This window comes from Homo sapiens, chromosome 16 (assembly GCF_000001405.40).
Source record: "Homo sapiens chromosome 16, GRCh38.p14 Primary Assembly".
Taxonomy (NCBI): domain Eukaryota; kingdom Metazoa; phylum Chordata; class Mammalia; order Primates; family Hominidae; genus Homo; species Homo sapiens.
In genome coordinates, this window is record NC_000016.10 from 34,066,689 (window position 1) to 34,086,445 (window position 19,757).

Here is a 19,757-nt window from a genome sequence, read left to right on the forward strand (position 1 = left end):
GAATCATCATCGAATGGAATGGAATGGAGTCATCTAATGGAATCGAATGGAATCATCATCAAATGGAATCGAATGGAATCATTGAATGGAATCGAAGGGAGTCATCAAATGAAATTGAATGGAATCATAGAATGGAATTGAATCGAATGGAATCGCATGGAATCAAATGGAATGGAATTGAATGGGAGCTGAGACTGTGTCACTGAGTTCCAGGCTGGGTGACAGAGTGAGATACACTCGAAAGAAAGGAATGAAATTGAATTCAGTTGAATGGAATGAAATGGAATGGAGTGGACTGGAGTGGAGTGGAGTGGAGTGAAGTGTAGTGGAGTGCAATAGAGAGGAATGGAATGGGATGGAATGAAATGAAATGAAGTGGAGTGGAGTGGGGTGGAGTGCAGTGCAGTGGAATGGAGTGGAATTTAATGAGATGGAATGGAAAGGAGTGTAGTGGACTGCAGTGGAGTGGAGAGGAGTGGAATGGAGTGGCATGGAATCGGATGTAATGGGATGTAGTGGAGTGGAGTGGAGTGGAAAGGAACACAGTGGAATGGAATGGAATGGAATGGAATGGAAAGGAATGGAATTGAATGCAATGCAATGCAATGCAATGGAATAGAATGCAATGCAATGGAAAGTTGACATGTAATGTGAGCTGAGATTGTGCCACTGCACTCCAGCCTGGGTGACACAGTGATATCCTGTCGAAAGAAAGGAATGGAATGCAATGGAGTGAAATGGAATGGAATGGAATGGAGTGGAGTGGAGTGGAGTGGAGTGGAATGGAATGGAATGGAATGGAATGGAATGGAATGGAATGGAATGGAATGGAATTGAAATGAATCGAATCAAATCGAACAGAATGGAATCAAATCAAATGGAATTGCATGGAATGGAAAGGAATGGAATGGGAGCTGAGATTGTGCCACTGCACTCCAGCCTGGGTGACAGAGTGAGAAACTCTCGAAAGAAAGTAATGGAATGGAATGGAGTGGAATGGAATGGAACGGAATGGAGTGAACCTGAGTGGAGTGGAGTGGAGTGGAGTGGAGTGGAATGGAGTGGAATGGAATCGGATGTTATGGAAAGTAGTGGAATGGAATGGAATAGAATGGACTGGAATGGACTGGAATGGAATGGAATCGAATGGAATGGACTCGAATGGATTGGAATGGACTCGAATGGAATGAAATGGACACGAATGGAATCATCCTCGAATAGACTCAAATGGAAGCATCATCAAATGGACTCGAATGGAATCATCATCAAATGCACACCAAAGAAATCATCATCGAATGAACTCGAATGGAAGTGTCATCAAATGGACTCAAATGGAATCATCATCGAATGGATTCGAATGGAATAATCATCGAATGGACTCGAATTGAATTGTGATCACATGGACTCAAATGGAATCATCATTGAATGGACTCGAATAGAATCGTGCTAGAATGGAGTCGAAAGGAATCGTCATCGAATAGAATTGAATGGAATCATCGTTGAATGGACTCGAATGGATTCATCATTGAATGGACTCCAATGGAATCGTCATCAAATGGAATCAAATGGAATCGTCTTTGTATGGAATTGAATGGAATCATCATCAAATGGAATTGAATGGAATCATCATTGAATGGAATCGAATGGAATCATTATAAAATGTAATCGATTGGAATCATCATCAAATGGAATCGAAAGGAATCATCGAATGGAATCGAATGGAATCATCGAATGGAATCTAATGGAACAATCATCAAATGGAATCGAATGGAATCATCGAATGGAATCAAAAGGAATCAGCGAATGGAATTGAATGGAATCATTATCAAATGCAATCACATGGAATCATCATTGAATGGAATTGAACAGAATCATCAAGTGGAACCGAATGGAATCATTGAAGGGAATCGAATGGAATCATGATTGAATGGAATCGAATGGAATTATAGAATGAAATTGAATGGAATCATTGAATGGAATCGAAGGCAATCATTGATGGACTCGAATGGATTCATCAACGAATGGACATGAATGGAATCATCATCAAATGGACTCGAATGGAGTCATCATCTAATGGAATCGAATAGAATCAACATCGAATGGACTCCAATGGAACCATCGAAAGGAATCGAATGGAATCATCGAATTTAATCAAAGGGAATCATTATCAAATGCAGTCGAATGGAATCATCATCAAAGGGAATCGAATGGAATCATCGAATGGAATCATCGAATGGAATCATCATCGAATGGAATCGAATGGAATCATCAAATGGAATCAAATGGAATCGTCAAATGGAATTGAATGGAATCATCATCGAATGGAATCATCAAATGGAATCGAATGGAATCATCATCAAATGGAATCGAATGGAATTATTGAATGGAATCGAATGGAATCATTGAATGGAATTGAAAGCAATCATTGAATGGACTCTAATGGAATCATCATCGAATGGACATGAAAGGAATCATCATCAAATGGACTCGAATGGAATCATCATTGAATGGACTCGAATGGAATCCTTATCAAATGGACTCTAATGGAGTCATCATCGAATGGAATCGAATGGAATCAACATCAAATGGTCTCGAATGTAATCATCGAATGGAATCGAATGGAATCATCAAATTTAATCGAACAGAATGATTATCAAATGCAATCGAATGGAGCCATCATCGAATGGACTTGAATGGAGTCATCATCGAATGGAATCTAATGGAAACAACATTGAATGGACTCGAATGGAATCATCGAATGGAATCAAATGGAATCATCAAATTTAATCGAATGGAATCATTATCGAATGCAATCGAATGGAACCATCATCGAATAGACTCGAATGGAATCATCATCGAATGGACTCGAATGGAATCATCGTCAAATGGACTCGGATGGAATCATCTTCGAATGGACTCGAATGGAGTCATCATCAAATGGACTCGAATGGAGTCATCATGGAATGGACTCGAATGGAATCATCATCAAATGGACTCGAATGGAATCATCATCGAATGGACTCAAATGGAGTCATCGTGGAATGGACTTGAATGGAGTCATCATCGAATGAACTCGAATGGAATCAACATTGAATGGACTCGAATGGAATCATCGAATGGAATCGAATGAAATCATCAAATTTAATCGAATGGAATCATTATCGAATGCAATCGAATGGAACCATCATCGAATGGAATCGAATGGATCATCGAATGGAATCGAATGGAATCATCGAATGGAATGGAATGGAATGGAATCATCATCGAATGGAATCAAATGGAATTATCAAATGGAATCGAATGGAATCTTCAAATGGAATTGAATGGAATCATCATCAAAAGGAATCGAATGGAATCATTGAATGGAATTGAATGGAATCGAATGTAATTATTGAATGGAATCGAATGGAATCATTGATTGGAATACACTGCAATCATTGAACGGACTCGAATGGAATCATCATGGAATGGACATGAATGGAATCATCATCGAATGGACTTGAATGGAATCATCATCGAATGGAATCGAGTGGAATCATCATCCAATGGACTCGAATGGAATCATCATCGAATGGACCTGAATAGAATAATCATCGAATGGACTCGGATGGAATCGTCATCCAATGGACTCGAATGGAATCATCATCGAATGGACTCGAATGGAATCATCATCAAATGGACTCGAATGGAGTCATCATTGAATGGAATCGAGTGGAATCATCATCCAATGGACTCGAATGGAATCATCATCGAATGGACCTGAATAGAATAATCATCGAATGGACTCAGATGGAATCGTCATCCAATGGACTCGAATGGAATCATCATCGAATGGAATCGAATGGAATCATCGAATGGACTCGAATGGAATCATCATCGAATGGACTCGAATGGAATCATCATCAAATGGACTCGAATGGAGTCATCATTGAATGGAATCGAGTGGAATCATCATCCAATGGACTCGAATGGAATCATCATCGAATGGGCTCGAATAGAATCATCATCAAATGGCTCGAATGGAATCGTCATCCAATGAACTCGAATGGAATAATCATCGAATGGAATCGAATGGAGTCATCATCGAATGGACCCAAAAGGAATCATCATGGAATGGACTCAAATGGAATCATCATCAAATGGACTCGAATGGAATCATCATCGAATGGACTCAAATGGAGTCATCATGGAATGGACTTGAATGGAGTCATCATCGAATGAACTCGAATGGAATTATCATTGAAGGAAAACGAATAGAGTCATCATCGCATGGAATCGAATGGAATCATCATTGAATGGACTCAAATGGAGTCATCATCGAATGTACTCGAATGGAGTCATCATCAAAAGGACACAAATGGAATCATCACCGAATGGACTCGAATGGAATCATCATTGAATGGAATAAAATGGAATCATCATCGAAAGGAATCGAATGGAATCATCATCGAATGGAATCGAATGGAATCCTCGAATGGAATCGACTAGAATGGAATCCAATGGCATCGAATAGAATCGAATGGAATGGGAGCTGAGATTCTGCCACTGCGCTGCAGTCTGGGTGACAGACTGAGATACTCTCGAAAGAAGGGAATGGAATGGAAAGCAGTGGAAAGGAATGGAATGGAATGGAGTGGACTGGAGTGGATTGGAGTGAAGTGCAAAGCAGTGGAATGGAATGGGATGGAATGGAATAGAATGAAGTGGAGTGGAGTGGGGTGGATTGGAGTGCAGTGGAATGGAGCAGAATGGAATGGGTTGGAATGGAAAGGAGTGGATTGGAGTGCAGTAGATTGGAGAGGAGTGGAATGGATTTGAATGGAATCGGTGTAATGAAATGTAGTGGAGTGGAGTGGAACAGAGTGGAATGGAATGGAATGGAATAGAATTAAATGGAATGGAACGGAATGGAATTGAATGGAATGGAATGGAATGGAATGGAATGGAATGGAATGGAATGGAATGAAATGGAATGCAATTGAATGTCATGGAATAGAATGCAATGCAATGGAAAGTTGACATGTAGTCTGAGCTGAGATGGTGCCAGTGTACTCCAGCCTGGGTGACACAGTGATATCCTGTCGAAAGAAAGGAATGGTATGCAATGGAGTGAAATGGAATGGAATGGAGTGGAGTGGAGTGGAGTGGAATGGAATGAAATGGAATGGAATCGAATCGAATAGCATAGAATGGAATCAAATGGATTGGAATCGAATGGAATCAAATCAAATGGAATCGAATGGAATCGAATGGCATGGAATGGAATGGAATGGAATGGGAGCTGAGATTATGCCACTGTGCTCCAGGCTGGGTGACAGAGTGAGATACTCTTGAAATAAAGGAATGGAATGGAATGCATTGGAATGGAATGCATTGGAATGGAATGGAATGGAATGGAGTGGACTGGAGTGAAGTGGAGTGGAGTGAAGTGGAGTGGAGTGGAGAGGAGTGGAATGTAGTGGAATGGAACTGGATTAAATGGAATGGAATGGAATGGACTCGAATGGAATGGACTCGAATGGAATGGAAGGGACTTGAATGGAATCATCATCGAACGGACTCGAATAGAATCATCATCGAATGGACTCGAATGGAATCATCATCGAATGGACTCGAATGGAATCATCACCGAATGGACTCAAATGGAATCATCTTCAAATGGAACCGAATGGAATCATCATCAAATGGAATTGAATGGAATCATCAAATGGAGTTGAATGGAATCATCATCGAATGGAATAGAATGGAATCATCATCGAACGGAGTTGAATGGAGTCATCATTGAACGGAATCGAATGGAATCATCATTGAATGGAATCAAAAGGAATCATCATCGAATGGAATGGAATGGAGTCATCATCTAATGGAATCGAATGGAATCATCATCAAATGGAATCGAATGGAATCATTGAATGGAATCGAAGGGAGTCATCAAATGAAATTGAATGGAATCATAGAATGGAATTGAATCGAATGGAATCGCATGGAATCAAATGGAATGGAATTGAATGGGAGCTGAGACTGTGTCACTGAGTTCCAGGCTGGGTGACAGAGTGAGATACACTCGAAAGAAAGGAATGAAATTGAATTCAGTTGAATGGAATGAAATGGAATGGAGTGGACTGGAGTGGAGTGGAGTGGAGTGAAGTGTAGTGGAGTGCAATAGAGAGGAATGGAATGGGATGGAATGAAATGAAATGAAGTGGAGTGGAGTGGGGTGGAGTGCAGTGCAGTGGAATGGAGTGGAATTTAATGAGATGGAATGGAAAGGAGTGTAGTGGACTGCAGTGGAGTGGAGAGGAGTGGAATGGAGTGGCATGGAATCGGATGTAATGGGATGTAGTGGAGTGGAGTGGAGTGGAAAGGAACACAGTGGAATGGAATGGAATGGAATGGAATGGAAAGGAATGGAATTGAATGCAATGCAATGCAATGCAATGGAATAGAATGCAATGCAATGGAAAGTTGACATGTAATGTGAGCTGAGATTGTGCCACTGCACTCCAGCCTGGGTGACACAGTGATATCCTGTCGAAAGAAAGGAATGGAATGCAATGGAGTGAAATGGAATGGAATGGAATGGAGTGGAGTGGAGTGGAGTGGAGTGGAATGGAATGGAATGGAATGGAATGGAATGGAATGGAATGGAATTGAAATGAATCGAATCAAATCGAACAGAATGGAATCAAATCAAATGGAATTGCATGGAATGGAAAGGAATGGAATGGGAGCTGAGATTGTGCCACTGCACTCCAGCCTGGGTGACAGAGTGAGAAACTCTCGAAAGAAAGTAATGGAATGGAATGGAGTGGAATGGAATGGAACGGAATGGAGTGAACCTGAGTGGAGTGGAGTGGAGTGGAGTGGAGTGGAATGGAGTGGAATGGAATCGGATGTTATGGAAAGTAGTGGAATGGAATGGAATAGAATGGACTGGAATGGACTGGAATGGAATGGAATCGAATGGAATGGACTCGAATGGATTGGAATGGACTCGAATGGAATGAAATGGACACGAATGGAATCATCCTCGAATAGACTCAAATGGAAGCATCATCAAATGGACTCGAATGGAATCATCATCAAATGTACACCAAAGAAATCATCATCGAATGAACTCGAATGGAAGTGTCATCAAATGGACTCAAATGGAATCATCATCGAATGGATTCGAATGGAATAATCATCGAATGGACTCGAATTGAATTGTGATCACATGGACTCAAATGGAATCATCATTGAATGGACTCGAATAGAATCGTGCTAGAATGGAGTCGAAAGGAATCGTCATCGAATAGAATTGAATGGAATCATCGTTGAATGGACTCGAATGGATTCATCATCGAATGGACTCCAATGGAATCGTCATCAAATGGAATCAAATGGAATCGTCTTTGTATGGAATTGAATGGAATCATCATCAAATGGAATTGAATGGAATCATCATTGAATGGAATCGAATGGAATCATTATAAAATGTAATCGATTGGAATCATCATCAAATGGAATCGAAAGGAATCATCGAATGGAATTGAATGGAATCATCATCGAATGGATTCGAATGCAATCATCATAGAATTGAATCGAATGAAATCATTGAATAGAATCGAATGGAATTATCATCGAATGGAATCAAATGGAATCATCATCGATTGGAATCAAATGGAAGCAATGAATGGAATCAAATGGAATCATTGAATGGAAGCAAATGGAAACGAATGGAATCATCGAATGGAATGGAATGGAATCATCATTGAATGGAATCAAAAGGAATCATCATTGATGGGAATCGAATGGAATCATCATCGAATAGAATCAAAAAGAATCATCATCGATGGGAATCGAATGGAATCATCATCAAACGGAATTGAACGGAATCATCATGGAATGGAATGGAATCATCATTGAATGGACTCGAGTGGAATCATCATCAAATGGAATCATCATCGAAAAAAATCCAATGGAATCATCATCAAAAAAAATCCAATGGAATCATCATCAAATCCAATCAAATGGAATCATCATCAAAAGGACTCAAATGGAAACATCATTAAATGTAATCATTATCGAATGGAATCATCATCGAATGGACTCAAATGGAATCATCATCGAATGGACTCGAATAGAATCATCATCGATTGGACTCAAAAGGAATCACCATCGAATGGACTGGAATGGAATCATCACCGAATGGACTCGAATGGAGACATCATTGAATGGAATCGAATGGAATCATTGAAAGGAATCGAATATAATCATCAAATGGAATCGAATGGAATCATTGAATGGAATCGAATGGAATCATCAACTAGAATAGAATGGAATCATCAACTAGAATCGAATGGAATCATGGAATGGAATCGAATGGAAATATCATCGAATTGAATCAAATGAAATCATCCAATTGAATCGACCAGAAGTATCATTGAATGAAGTTGAATGGCATCATCAAATGGAACCTAATGGAATCATTATCGAGTGGAATCAAATGGAATCATCGAATAGAATCAAAAGGAATCATCATCAAATGGACCCTAATGGAACCATCATCGAATGGAATCAAATGGAATCATCATCGAATGGACCCTAATGGAACCATCATCGAATGGACACGAATGGAATCACCATCGAATGGAGTCGAATGGAATCGTCATCAAAAGGAATTGAAAGAAAACATCATTGAATGTAATCAAATGGAATCAACATTGAAAGGAATCGAATGTAATTATCATCAAATGGAATTGAAAGGAATCATTATCCAATTGTATTGAAAGGGATAATCATCAAATGGAATCGAATGGATTCATCATTGAATGGAACAGAATGGAATCTTTGAATGAAATCAAATGGAATCATCAAATAGAAGCAAATGGAATCCAATGGAATCATCGAATGGAAACTAACGGTATCATCATCGAATGGAATTGATTGGAACCATCATCGAAAGGAATCGAATGGAATCATCATGGAATGGAATCGAATGGTATAACTGAATGGAATCGAATGGAATCATCATCGAATGGAATCGAATGGAATCATAGAAAGGAATCAAATGGAAATATCATCAAATGGAATCCAAAGGAATCATCGAATGGAATCAAATGGAATCACTGAATGGAATCGAATGAAATCATCATTGAATGGAATCGAATGGAATCATCAAATGCAATCAAATGAAATCATCATCAAATGGAATCGAATGGAAACATCATCGAATGGCATCAAATGGAATTATCATCGAATGGAATTGAATGGAAATATCATCGAATTGAATCGAATGGAATCATCATCAAATGGAATCGAACGGAATCATCATATATTGGAACCGTATAAAATCATTGAGTGGAATCGAATGGAATTATCATCGAATGGAATCAAAAGGGACCATCATCGAATGGAATCGAATGGAATCATCATCGAATGGAATTGAATGGAATCATCATCAAATTGAATTGAATGGAATCATTGAATAGAATCAAATGGAATCATCGAATGGAAGCAAATGGAATCATTGAATGAAATCATTGAATAGAATTAAATGGAATCATCATAGAATGGAATCGAATGGTATCATCGATTGGAATCTAATGGAACCATCATCGAATGGAATTGAATGGAATCTTCTAATGGAATCGAATGGAATCATCATCGAATGGAATCAATTGGTATCATCATCGAATGTAAATGGATGGAGTCATCATTGCATGGAATCAAATGGAATCATGAATGAATCGAATCGAATGGAATCATCATCAAATGGAATCATCATCGAATGGAATTGAATGGAATCATCATCGAATGGAATCAAATGGAATCATCATCAAAAGGAATCGAATGGAATCATTGAATTGAATCTAATGGAATCATCAACTGGAATTGAATGGAATCATCAAATGGAATCGAATGGAATCATCATTGAATGGAATCTAAAGGAATCATCTAATGGAATTGACCAGAAGTATCATCAAATGAAATCGAATGGAATCATCGAATGGAAATGAATGGAATAATTATCGAGTGGAATCAAAATGGAATCGTGGTATGGAATTGAATGGAATCATCATCAAATGGACTCTAATGGAATCATCATCGAATGGACTCGAATCGAATCATCAAATGGACTCGAATGGAATCATCATCAAAAGGAATTGAATGGAATCATCATTGAATGTAATTGAATGGAAACATCATTGAATGGATTCAAATGGAATTATCATCAAATGGAAAGGAAAGAAATCATTATCCAATTGAATTGAATGGGATCATCACCGAATGGAATCGAATGCATTCATCATCAAATGGAATCAAATGGAATCATTGAATGGAATCGAATGGAATCATCAAATGGAAGCAAAAGGAAACAAATGGAATCATTGAATGGAATCAAATGGAATCATCATCAAATGAAATCCAATGGAATCATCGAATGGAATCGCATGGTATCATCATCGAATGGAATTCATTGGGACCATCATCGAAAGGAATCGAATGGAAGCATCATCGAATGGAATCGAATTGTATCATTGAATGGAATCGAATGGAATCATCATTGAATGGAATCAAATGGAATCATCAAAAGGAATCAAATGGAATCATCATCAAATGGAATCCAAAGGAATCATCGAATGGAATTGAATGGAATCATCATTGAATGGAATCGAATGGAATCATCAAATGGAATCACATGGAATCATCGAATGGAAGCAAATGGAATCAAATAGAAACATCGAATAGAATCAAAAGGAATCATCATCGAATGGAAACGAATGGAATCATTGAATGCAATCGAATGAAATCATCGTCGAATGTAATCGAATGGAATCATCGAATGGAATCCAATGAAATCATCATCGAATGGAATCGAATGGAAACATCGTCAAATGAATTCGAATGGAATTATCATCGAATGAAATTGAATGGAATCATCATCGAATGGAATCGAATGGAATCACCATCAAATGGAATGGAATTGAATCATCATCAATTGGAATCGAATGGAATCATCGAATGGAATCGAATGAAATCATCATCGAATGGAATCGAATGAAGTCATCATTGAATGGAATTGATTGGAATCATCATCAAATGGAATCGAATGGAATCATTGAATAGAATTGAATGGAATCATCAAATGGAATCAAATGGAACCATCGAATGGAATCATCAAACAGAATCGAATGGAATAATCATCCAATGGAATCGAATGGAATTATCGATTGGAATCAAATGGAATCATCGTCGAATGGAATCTAATGGAATCTTTGAATGGAATCAAATGGAATCATCATTGAATGGAATCCAATGGAATCATCAAATGGAATTGAACGGAATCATCATCGAATGTAAATGGATGTAGTCATCATTGCATGGAAACGAATGGAATCATCATAGAATGGAATGGAATAGAATCATCGTCGAATGGAATCGAGTGGAATCAACAGTGAATGGAATCGAATGGAATCCTCATCAAATGGAATTGAATGGAATCATGGAATGCAATCGAATGGAATTATCATTGGTTCGAATCGAATGCAATCGTCATTGGATGGAATCGAAATAAATCATCATCGAATGGAATCGAATGAAATCATGGAATGGATTCGAATGAAATCATCATCGAGTGGAATCCAGTGGAATCATCGAATGGAATCGAATGGAATCATCATTGAATGGAATCAAATGGAATCATCGAATGGAATCGAATGAAATCATGATCGGATGGACACAAATGGAATCATCATCAAATGGACAAAAATGCAATCATCATCAGATGGACTCAAAGGTAATCGTCATCAGATGGACTCTAATGGAATCATCATCAGATGGACTCAAATGGAATCATCATCGAATTGATTCAAATGGAATCATCAGCGAATGGAATCGAATGGAATCATCATCGATTGGAATCGAATGGAAGCAACGAATGGAATTGAATGGAATCATCGAATGGAATTGAATGGAAACATCATCGAATGGAATTGAAAGGAATCATCATTGAAGGGAATCAAATGGAATCCTCATTGAATGGAATTGAATGGAATCATCATCAAATGGAATTCAGTGGAATCATCATCGAATGGAATCGAATGGAATCATCTTCGAATGGACTCGAGTGGAATCATCATCGAATGGAATCATCATTGAAAAAAATCGAATGGAATAATCATCAAATCGATTCGAATGGAATCATCATCCAATGGAATCGAATGGTATCATTGAATGGAATCAAATGGTATTGTCATCGAATGGAATCGAATGGAATCATTGAAAGGAATCAAATGGAATCATCATCAAATGGAATTCAAAGGAATCATTGAATGGAATTGAATGGAATCATCATCGAATGGAATAGAATAAAATCATCATCGAATGGAATCGAATGGAATCATCATTGAATGGAATCGAACGGAATCATCGAATGGAATCGAATGAAATCATCATCGAATGGAATCGAATGGAAACATCATCGAATGGAATCAAATGGAATTATCGTCGAATGGAATTGAATGGAATCATCATTGAATTGAATAGAATGGAATAGAATGGAATCATCCTAGAATGGAATCCAATGGAATCATCAAATGGAATCGAATGGAATCATCATCAAATGGAATCAAATGGAATCATCATCGAATGGAATCGAAGGAATCATCGAATGGAATCGAATGGCATCATTGGATGGACACGAATGGAATCATCATCGGATTGACTCAAATGGAATCGTCATCGGATAGACTCTAATGAAATCATCATCGGATGGAATTGAATGGAATCATCGAATGGAATCATCATCGAAAGGACAAGAATGGGATCATCATTGAATGCACTTGAGAGGAATCATCATCAAATGGACTCGAATGGAATCATCATAGAATTGAATCCAATGGAATCACCGAATGGAATTGAATGGAATCATCATCAAATGGAATTGAATGGAATCATCATCGAATGGAATCATCATTGAATGGAATCGAGTCATCATTAAATGAACTCGAACGGAATCATCGAATGGAATCAAATGGAATTATCAATGAATGGAATCAAATGGAATCATCATTGAATGGAATCGAATGGAATCATCATCGAATGGAATCAAATGGAATCAGCATCAAATGCAATCAAATGGAATCATTGAATGTAACCTAATGGAATCATTGAATGGAATAAAATGTAATCTAAAGTAATCTTTGAATGGAATCGAATGGAATCATCATCAAATGGATTCTAATGGAATCATCTAATGGAATCAAATGGAATCATCATTGAATGGAAACGAAAGGAATCATCGAATGGAATCAAATGGAATCGTGGTCTAATGGAATCCAAAGGAATCGTCGAATGGAATCGAATGGAATCATCACCAAATATAATCGAATGGACTCATTATCAAATTGAATCGAATGGAAACATCATCAAATGGATTCGAATGGAATCATCAAATGGAATCGATTGGAATCATCGAATGGAATCGAATGGAATCATCATCGAATGGAAATGAATGGAATCAAATCAAATCATTGAATGGAATCAAATGGAATCATCATCAAATGGAGTCGAATGGAATCATCAAATGGAATCAAATGGAAACATCATCAAATGGAATCGAATGGAGTCATCAAATGGTATCAAATTGAATCATCATCGAATGGAATCCCATGGAATCATCAAATGGAATCGAATGGAATCATCAAATGGAATCAAATGGAAACATCATCAAATGGAATCAAATGGAAACATCATCAAATGGAATCGAATGGAGTCGAATGGAATCATCGAATGGAATCAAATGGAAACATCATCAAATGGAATCGAATGGAGTCATCGAATGGAATCAAATTGAATCATCATCGAATGGAGTCCCATGGAATCATCAACTGGAATCGAATGGAATCATCGAATGGACTCGAATGGAATCATCGAATGGAATCCAATGGGATCTTCATTGAATGGAATCAAATGGAATCATCATCAAATGGAATCGAATGGAATTATTGAATGGAATAGAATGGAATCATCATCGGATGGACACGAATGGAATTATCATCAGATTGACTTGAATGGAATTGTCATCGGATGGACTCTAATGGAATAATCATCATATGGAATCTAATGGAATCATCAAATGGAATCATCATCGAATGGACTGTTATGGAATCATCATCAAATTGACTCAAATGGAATCACAATCGAATGGACTTGAATGGAATCATCATCGAATGGAATCCACTGGAATCATCAAATAGAATTGAATGGGATCATCATCTAAAGCAATTGAATGGAATCATTATGGAATGGAATTCAATGGAATCACCTAATGGAAATGAATGGAATCATCATAGAATGAAATCGAATGGAATCATCATCGAATGGAATCAAATGGAATCATCATCGAATGGAATCAAATGGAATCATCATCGAATGGAATCGAATGGAATCATCAAATGAACTCGAATGGAATCACAATCGAATGGACTCGAAAGGAATCATCATCAAATGGACTTGAATGGAATCATCATCAAATGGAATCCAATGGAATCATCAAATGGAATTGAAAGGAATCATCATCGAATGGTATGAAATGGAATCATCTTCGAATTGATTATTAATGGAATCATCAAAAGGAATCAAATGGAATCATCAAGTGGAATCGAATGGAATAATCAAACGGAATGAAATGGAGTCATAGAATGGAATCGAATGGAATCATCGAATGGAATCGAATGGAATCATCATCGAATGGACTTGAATGGAATCATCATTGGATGGACTCGAATGGAATCATCATAGGATGGACTCGAATGGAATCATCATTGGGTGGAATTGGATGGAATCTTCATGGGTTGGAATCGAATGGCAAGATCATCAGATGGAATCAAATGGAATCATCATCGGATGGAATCTGTTGGAATCACTATCGGATGGATTTTAATTGAATCATCATCAAACGGGATCGAATGGAATCATCATCCAATGGAATCAAATGTTGTCAGAAGGAATCTAATGGAATCATTGTCAGATGGAATCGAATGGAATAATCATCCGGTGGAATTGAATGGAATCATCATCACATGGAATCGAATGGAATCAATTTCAGATGGAATTGAATGGAATCATCATCAGATGGAATCAAATGGGATCATCATCGGATGAGATTGAATGGAATCATCATTGAATGAAATGGAAGGGAATCATCAATTAGAATCTTCTTCCAATGCACATGAATGGAATCATCATTGGATGGACTCATATGGAATCAGCATCGAATGGACTCAAATGCAATCATCATCAGATGGACTCGAAAGTAATCATCATCGGATGGAATCGAATGGAATCATCATCAAATGGAATCGAATGGAATCATCAACGGATGGAATTGAATGGAATCATCATCAGATGGAATCAAAGGGAATCATCGAATGGAATCATCATCGAATGGACTCGAATGGAATCATCATCAGATGGACCCAAATGGAATCATCATTGGATGGACTCTAATGGAATCATCATCGGATGGACCCGAATGGAATCATCATCAGATGGACTCAAATGGAATCATCATTGGATGGACTCGAATGGAATCATCATTGGATGGACTCAAATGGAATCACCATTGGATGGACACGAATGGAATCATCATTGGATGAAGAAGAATGGAATCATCATTGGATGGACTCAAATGGAATCATCATCGGATGGAATCGAATGGAATCAGCATCAAATGGAATCGAACGGAATAATCAAATGGAATAGAATGGAATCCTCATCAAATGGAAACGAATGCAATCATTGAATGGAATGGAAAGGAATCGTCATCAAATGAAATAGAATAGAATCATCGAATGGAATCTAATGGAATCATCATCGAATGGAATCCAATGGAATCATCGAATGGCATTGAAGGGAATCATCATCGAGTAGAATCAATTGGAACCATCATTGAACGGAATCGATTGGAATCATCATTGATTGGAATCGAATGGAATCATCGAATGAAACCGAATGGAGTCATCTAATGGAATCGATTGGAATCATCAAATGGAATTGAATGGAATCGAATGGAATCATCAAATGGAATCAAATGGAATCACCATCGAATGGAATCGAATGGAATCATCACTGAATGGAATTGAATGGAATTGAATGGAATCATCAAATGGAATCAAATGGAATCACCATTGAACGGAATCGAATGGAATCATCACAGAATGGAATTGAATGTAATCATGGAATGGAATCGAATGGAATCATCGAATGGAATCTAATGGAATCATCACCGAATGGGCAAGAATGGAATCATCATTGGATGGATTTGAATGAAATCATCATTGGTTGGAATCTAATGGAATCATCATCGAATGGAATCGAATAGAATGATAAACTCATGGAATCGAATGGAATCATCACCGGAAGGAATCAGGCAGAATCATCATCCAATGGAATCAAATGGAATAATCATCGGTTGGAATCGAAGGGAATCATCATTGAATGGAATCTAATGGAATCATCATCGAATGGAATTGAACAGAATCATCATGGAATGGAATCGAATGGAATCATCGAATGGAATCAAATGGAATCATTGAATGGAATGGAATGGAATCATCTAATTGAATAGATTGGAATCATAATCGAATGGAATAGAATGGAATCATAATCAAATGGAATAGAATGGAATCATAATCGAATGTAATCAAATGGAATCATCGAATGGAATCGAATGGGGTCATTGAATGGAATCGAATGGAATCATCGAATTTAATTGAATGGAATCATCATGAAATGGACTCGAATGGAATCATCGATTGATCTCAAATGAAATCATCATTGCATAGACTCGAATGCAATCATCCTCGAATGGACTAGAATGGAATCATCATTAGATGGACACGAATAGAATCATCATCGAATGGATTCAAATGGAATCATCAAATGGAATCAAATACAATCATCAAATCTAATCGAATGGAATCGAATGGAATCATCAAATGGAATCGAATGGAATCATCATCGAACGGAATCCAATGGAATATAAGAATGAAATCATATGGAATCATCATCGATTGGAATCGATTGGAACCAACATGGAAAGGAAACTAATGGAATCATCATCGAATGGAATTGAATGTTATCATCAAATGGAAGCAAATGAGATCGAATGGAATCATTGAATGGAAATGAAAGGAATCATAATTGGCCAGAAACGAATGGAATCAACATCCATTTGATGATGATTCCATTCGATTCCAGCCATTGATGATTCCATTCGATTCCATTCAAAGATTCCTTTTGATTCCATTTGATGATGATTCTATTTGATTTCATTCAATGATGATTCCATCCAAGTCCATTCATTTCCATTCGATGATTCCATTCGATTCCATTCGATGGTGATTCTATTTGAGTCCATTCAATGATAATTCCATTCGAGTCAATTCGGTGATGATATCATTCGAGTCCATTCTATGATGATTCCATTAGAGTTGATTCGATGATGATTCCATTCGAGTCTATTTGATGATGATTCCATTCGAATTCATTCAATGATTCCATTTGAGTCAATTCGATGATGCTTCCATTTGAGTCCATTCGATGATGATTTCAATCGATTCCATTCAACGATGATTCCATTCGAGTCCATTCGATGATGATTCCATTCAATTCCATTCGATGATTCCCTTTGATTCCATTTGATGATTCCATTCGATTCCATGCGATGATGATTCCATTCGATTCCATTTGATGATGAGTCAATTCGATTCCATTCAATGATGATTTCATTCGATTCCATTTGATGATGATTCCATTTGATTCCGTTCAGTGATGATTCCAATTGATACCATTCGATGATGATTGCATTCGAATCCCTTCGATGATGATGCCATTCGAGGCAATTTGATGATGAGTCGATTCAATTCCTTTCGATGATGATTTCATTTGATTCCATTCGATGATGATTCCATTCGATTCCATTCGATGATGATTCCAATTGATACCATTTGATGATGATTGCATTCGATTCCATTCAATGATGATGCCATTCGAGTCAATTTGAAGATGATTCCACATGAGTGCATTCGACAATGATTCCATTCGATTCCCTTTGATGATTCCTTTTGATTCCATTGGATGACTCCTTTTGATTCCATTCGATGATGATTTCTTTGGACTCCATTCGATGATTCCATTCAATTCCATTTCATGATTCTTCCATTCGATTCCATTCAATGATGATTCCATTCAATTCCATTTGATGATTATTCTATTCGTTTCCATTCGATGATGATTCCATTTGATTCCACTCGATGATGATTCCATTTGATTCCATTAGATGATGATACCATTTGATTCCATTCAATGATGATTCCATTCAAGTCCATTCGATGATGATTCCATTTGAGTCCATTCCATACCATTCGAGTCCATTCCTTTCCATTTGAGTCCATTCCATTCAATTCGAGTCCATTCCATTTCATTCCATTCCGTTCCATTCCATTCCACTCCACTCCATTCCACTCCACTCCACTCCACTCCACTCCATTCCATTCCATTCCATTCCATTCCACTCCACTCCATTCCACTCCACTCCACTCCACTCCTTTCCATTCCAATCCACTCCACTGCATTCCATTCCATTCCACTCCACTGCATTCCATTCCATTCCATTCCTTTCCACTCAATTCCATTCCATTCCGTTCCACTCAGTTCCATTCCATTCCATTCCACTCCATACCACTCCATTACACTCCTCTCCACTCCACTCCACTCCATTCCATTAAATTCCATTCCATTCCACTGCATTCCATTGTATTACCTTCTTTCAAGAATATCTAACTCTGTCACCCAGCCTGGAGTGCAGTGACACAATCTCAGCTCCCATTCCATTCCATTCCATTTGTTTCGATTCCATTCTATTTGATTCCATTCCATTCCATTCCATTCCATTCCTTCTATTCCATTAAATGATTCCGTTTGATTCCATTCGATGATTCCATTCAACTCCTTTTGATGATTCCATTCGATTCCTTTCGATGATGATTCCATTTGATTCCATACAATGAATCCATTCGAATCCATTCGGTGATGATTCCTTTCAATTCCATTTGATGATTCCATTTGATTCCATTCTGTGATGATTCCATTCAATTCCATTTTTTGATTCCATTCGATTCCATTAGATGATGATACCATTCAATTCCATTCAATGATTCCATTCGATTCCATTCTATGATGATTCCATTCGAGTCCATTTGATGATTATTCCATGCGAGTCCATTCCATTCCATTTGAGTCCATTCCTTTCCATTAGAGTCCATTCCAATTCTTTCGAGTCCATTCCATTCCTTGCCATTCCATTCCACTCCACTCCACTCCACTCCATTCCACTCCACTCCACTCAATTCCATTCCAATCCACTCCACTGCATTCCATTCCATTCCACTCCATTCTATTCCATTCCATTCCACTCCATACCACTTCACTTCACTCCACTCCTCTCCACTGCATTCCATTTCATTCCATTCCATTCCACTGCATTCCATTCTATACCGTTCTTTTGACAGTATCTCACTCTGTCACACAGCCTGGAGTATAGTGGAACAATCTCAATTCCCATTCCATTCCATTCCTTTTGATTCCATTTGATTCCACTTGATGATTCCATTAGATTCCATTCGATGATGATTCCATTAGATTCCATTGGAGGATGATTTCATTCGATTCCTTTTGATGATGATTCCACTCGAGTCCATTCGATGATG

The 19,757-nt window shown here is 37.8% G+C and overlaps 3 annotated features.

The window, feature by feature from the left end:
- Positions 238-755: an enhancer, noted in NCBI's record as "OCT4-NANOG-H3K27ac-H3K4me1 hESC enhancer chr16:33869393-33869910 (GRCh37/hg19 assembly coordinates)". NCBI's record gives its function as "activates a minimal SCP1, AML or CMV promoter by ChIP-STARR-seq in naive H9 embryonic stem cells {active_cell/tissue: H9 hESC(naive)}" and the evidence as "EXISTENCE:reporter gene assay evidence [ECO:0000049][PMID:30033119]".
- Positions 756-1,272: an enhancer, noted in NCBI's record as "OCT4-NANOG-H3K27ac-H3K4me1 hESC enhancer chr16:33869911-33870427 (GRCh37/hg19 assembly coordinates)". NCBI's record gives its function as "activates a minimal SCP1, AML or CMV promoter by ChIP-STARR-seq in naive H9 embryonic stem cells {active_cell/tissue: H9 hESC(naive)}" and the evidence as "EXISTENCE:reporter gene assay evidence [ECO:0000049][PMID:30033119]".
- Positions 2,998-3,522: an enhancer, noted in NCBI's record as "OCT4-NANOG hESC enhancer chr16:33872153-33872677 (GRCh37/hg19 assembly coordinates)". NCBI's record gives its function as "activates a minimal SCP1, AML or CMV promoter by ChIP-STARR-seq in naive H9 embryonic stem cells {active_cell/tissue: H9 hESC(naive)}" and the evidence as "EXISTENCE:reporter gene assay evidence [ECO:0000049][PMID:30033119]".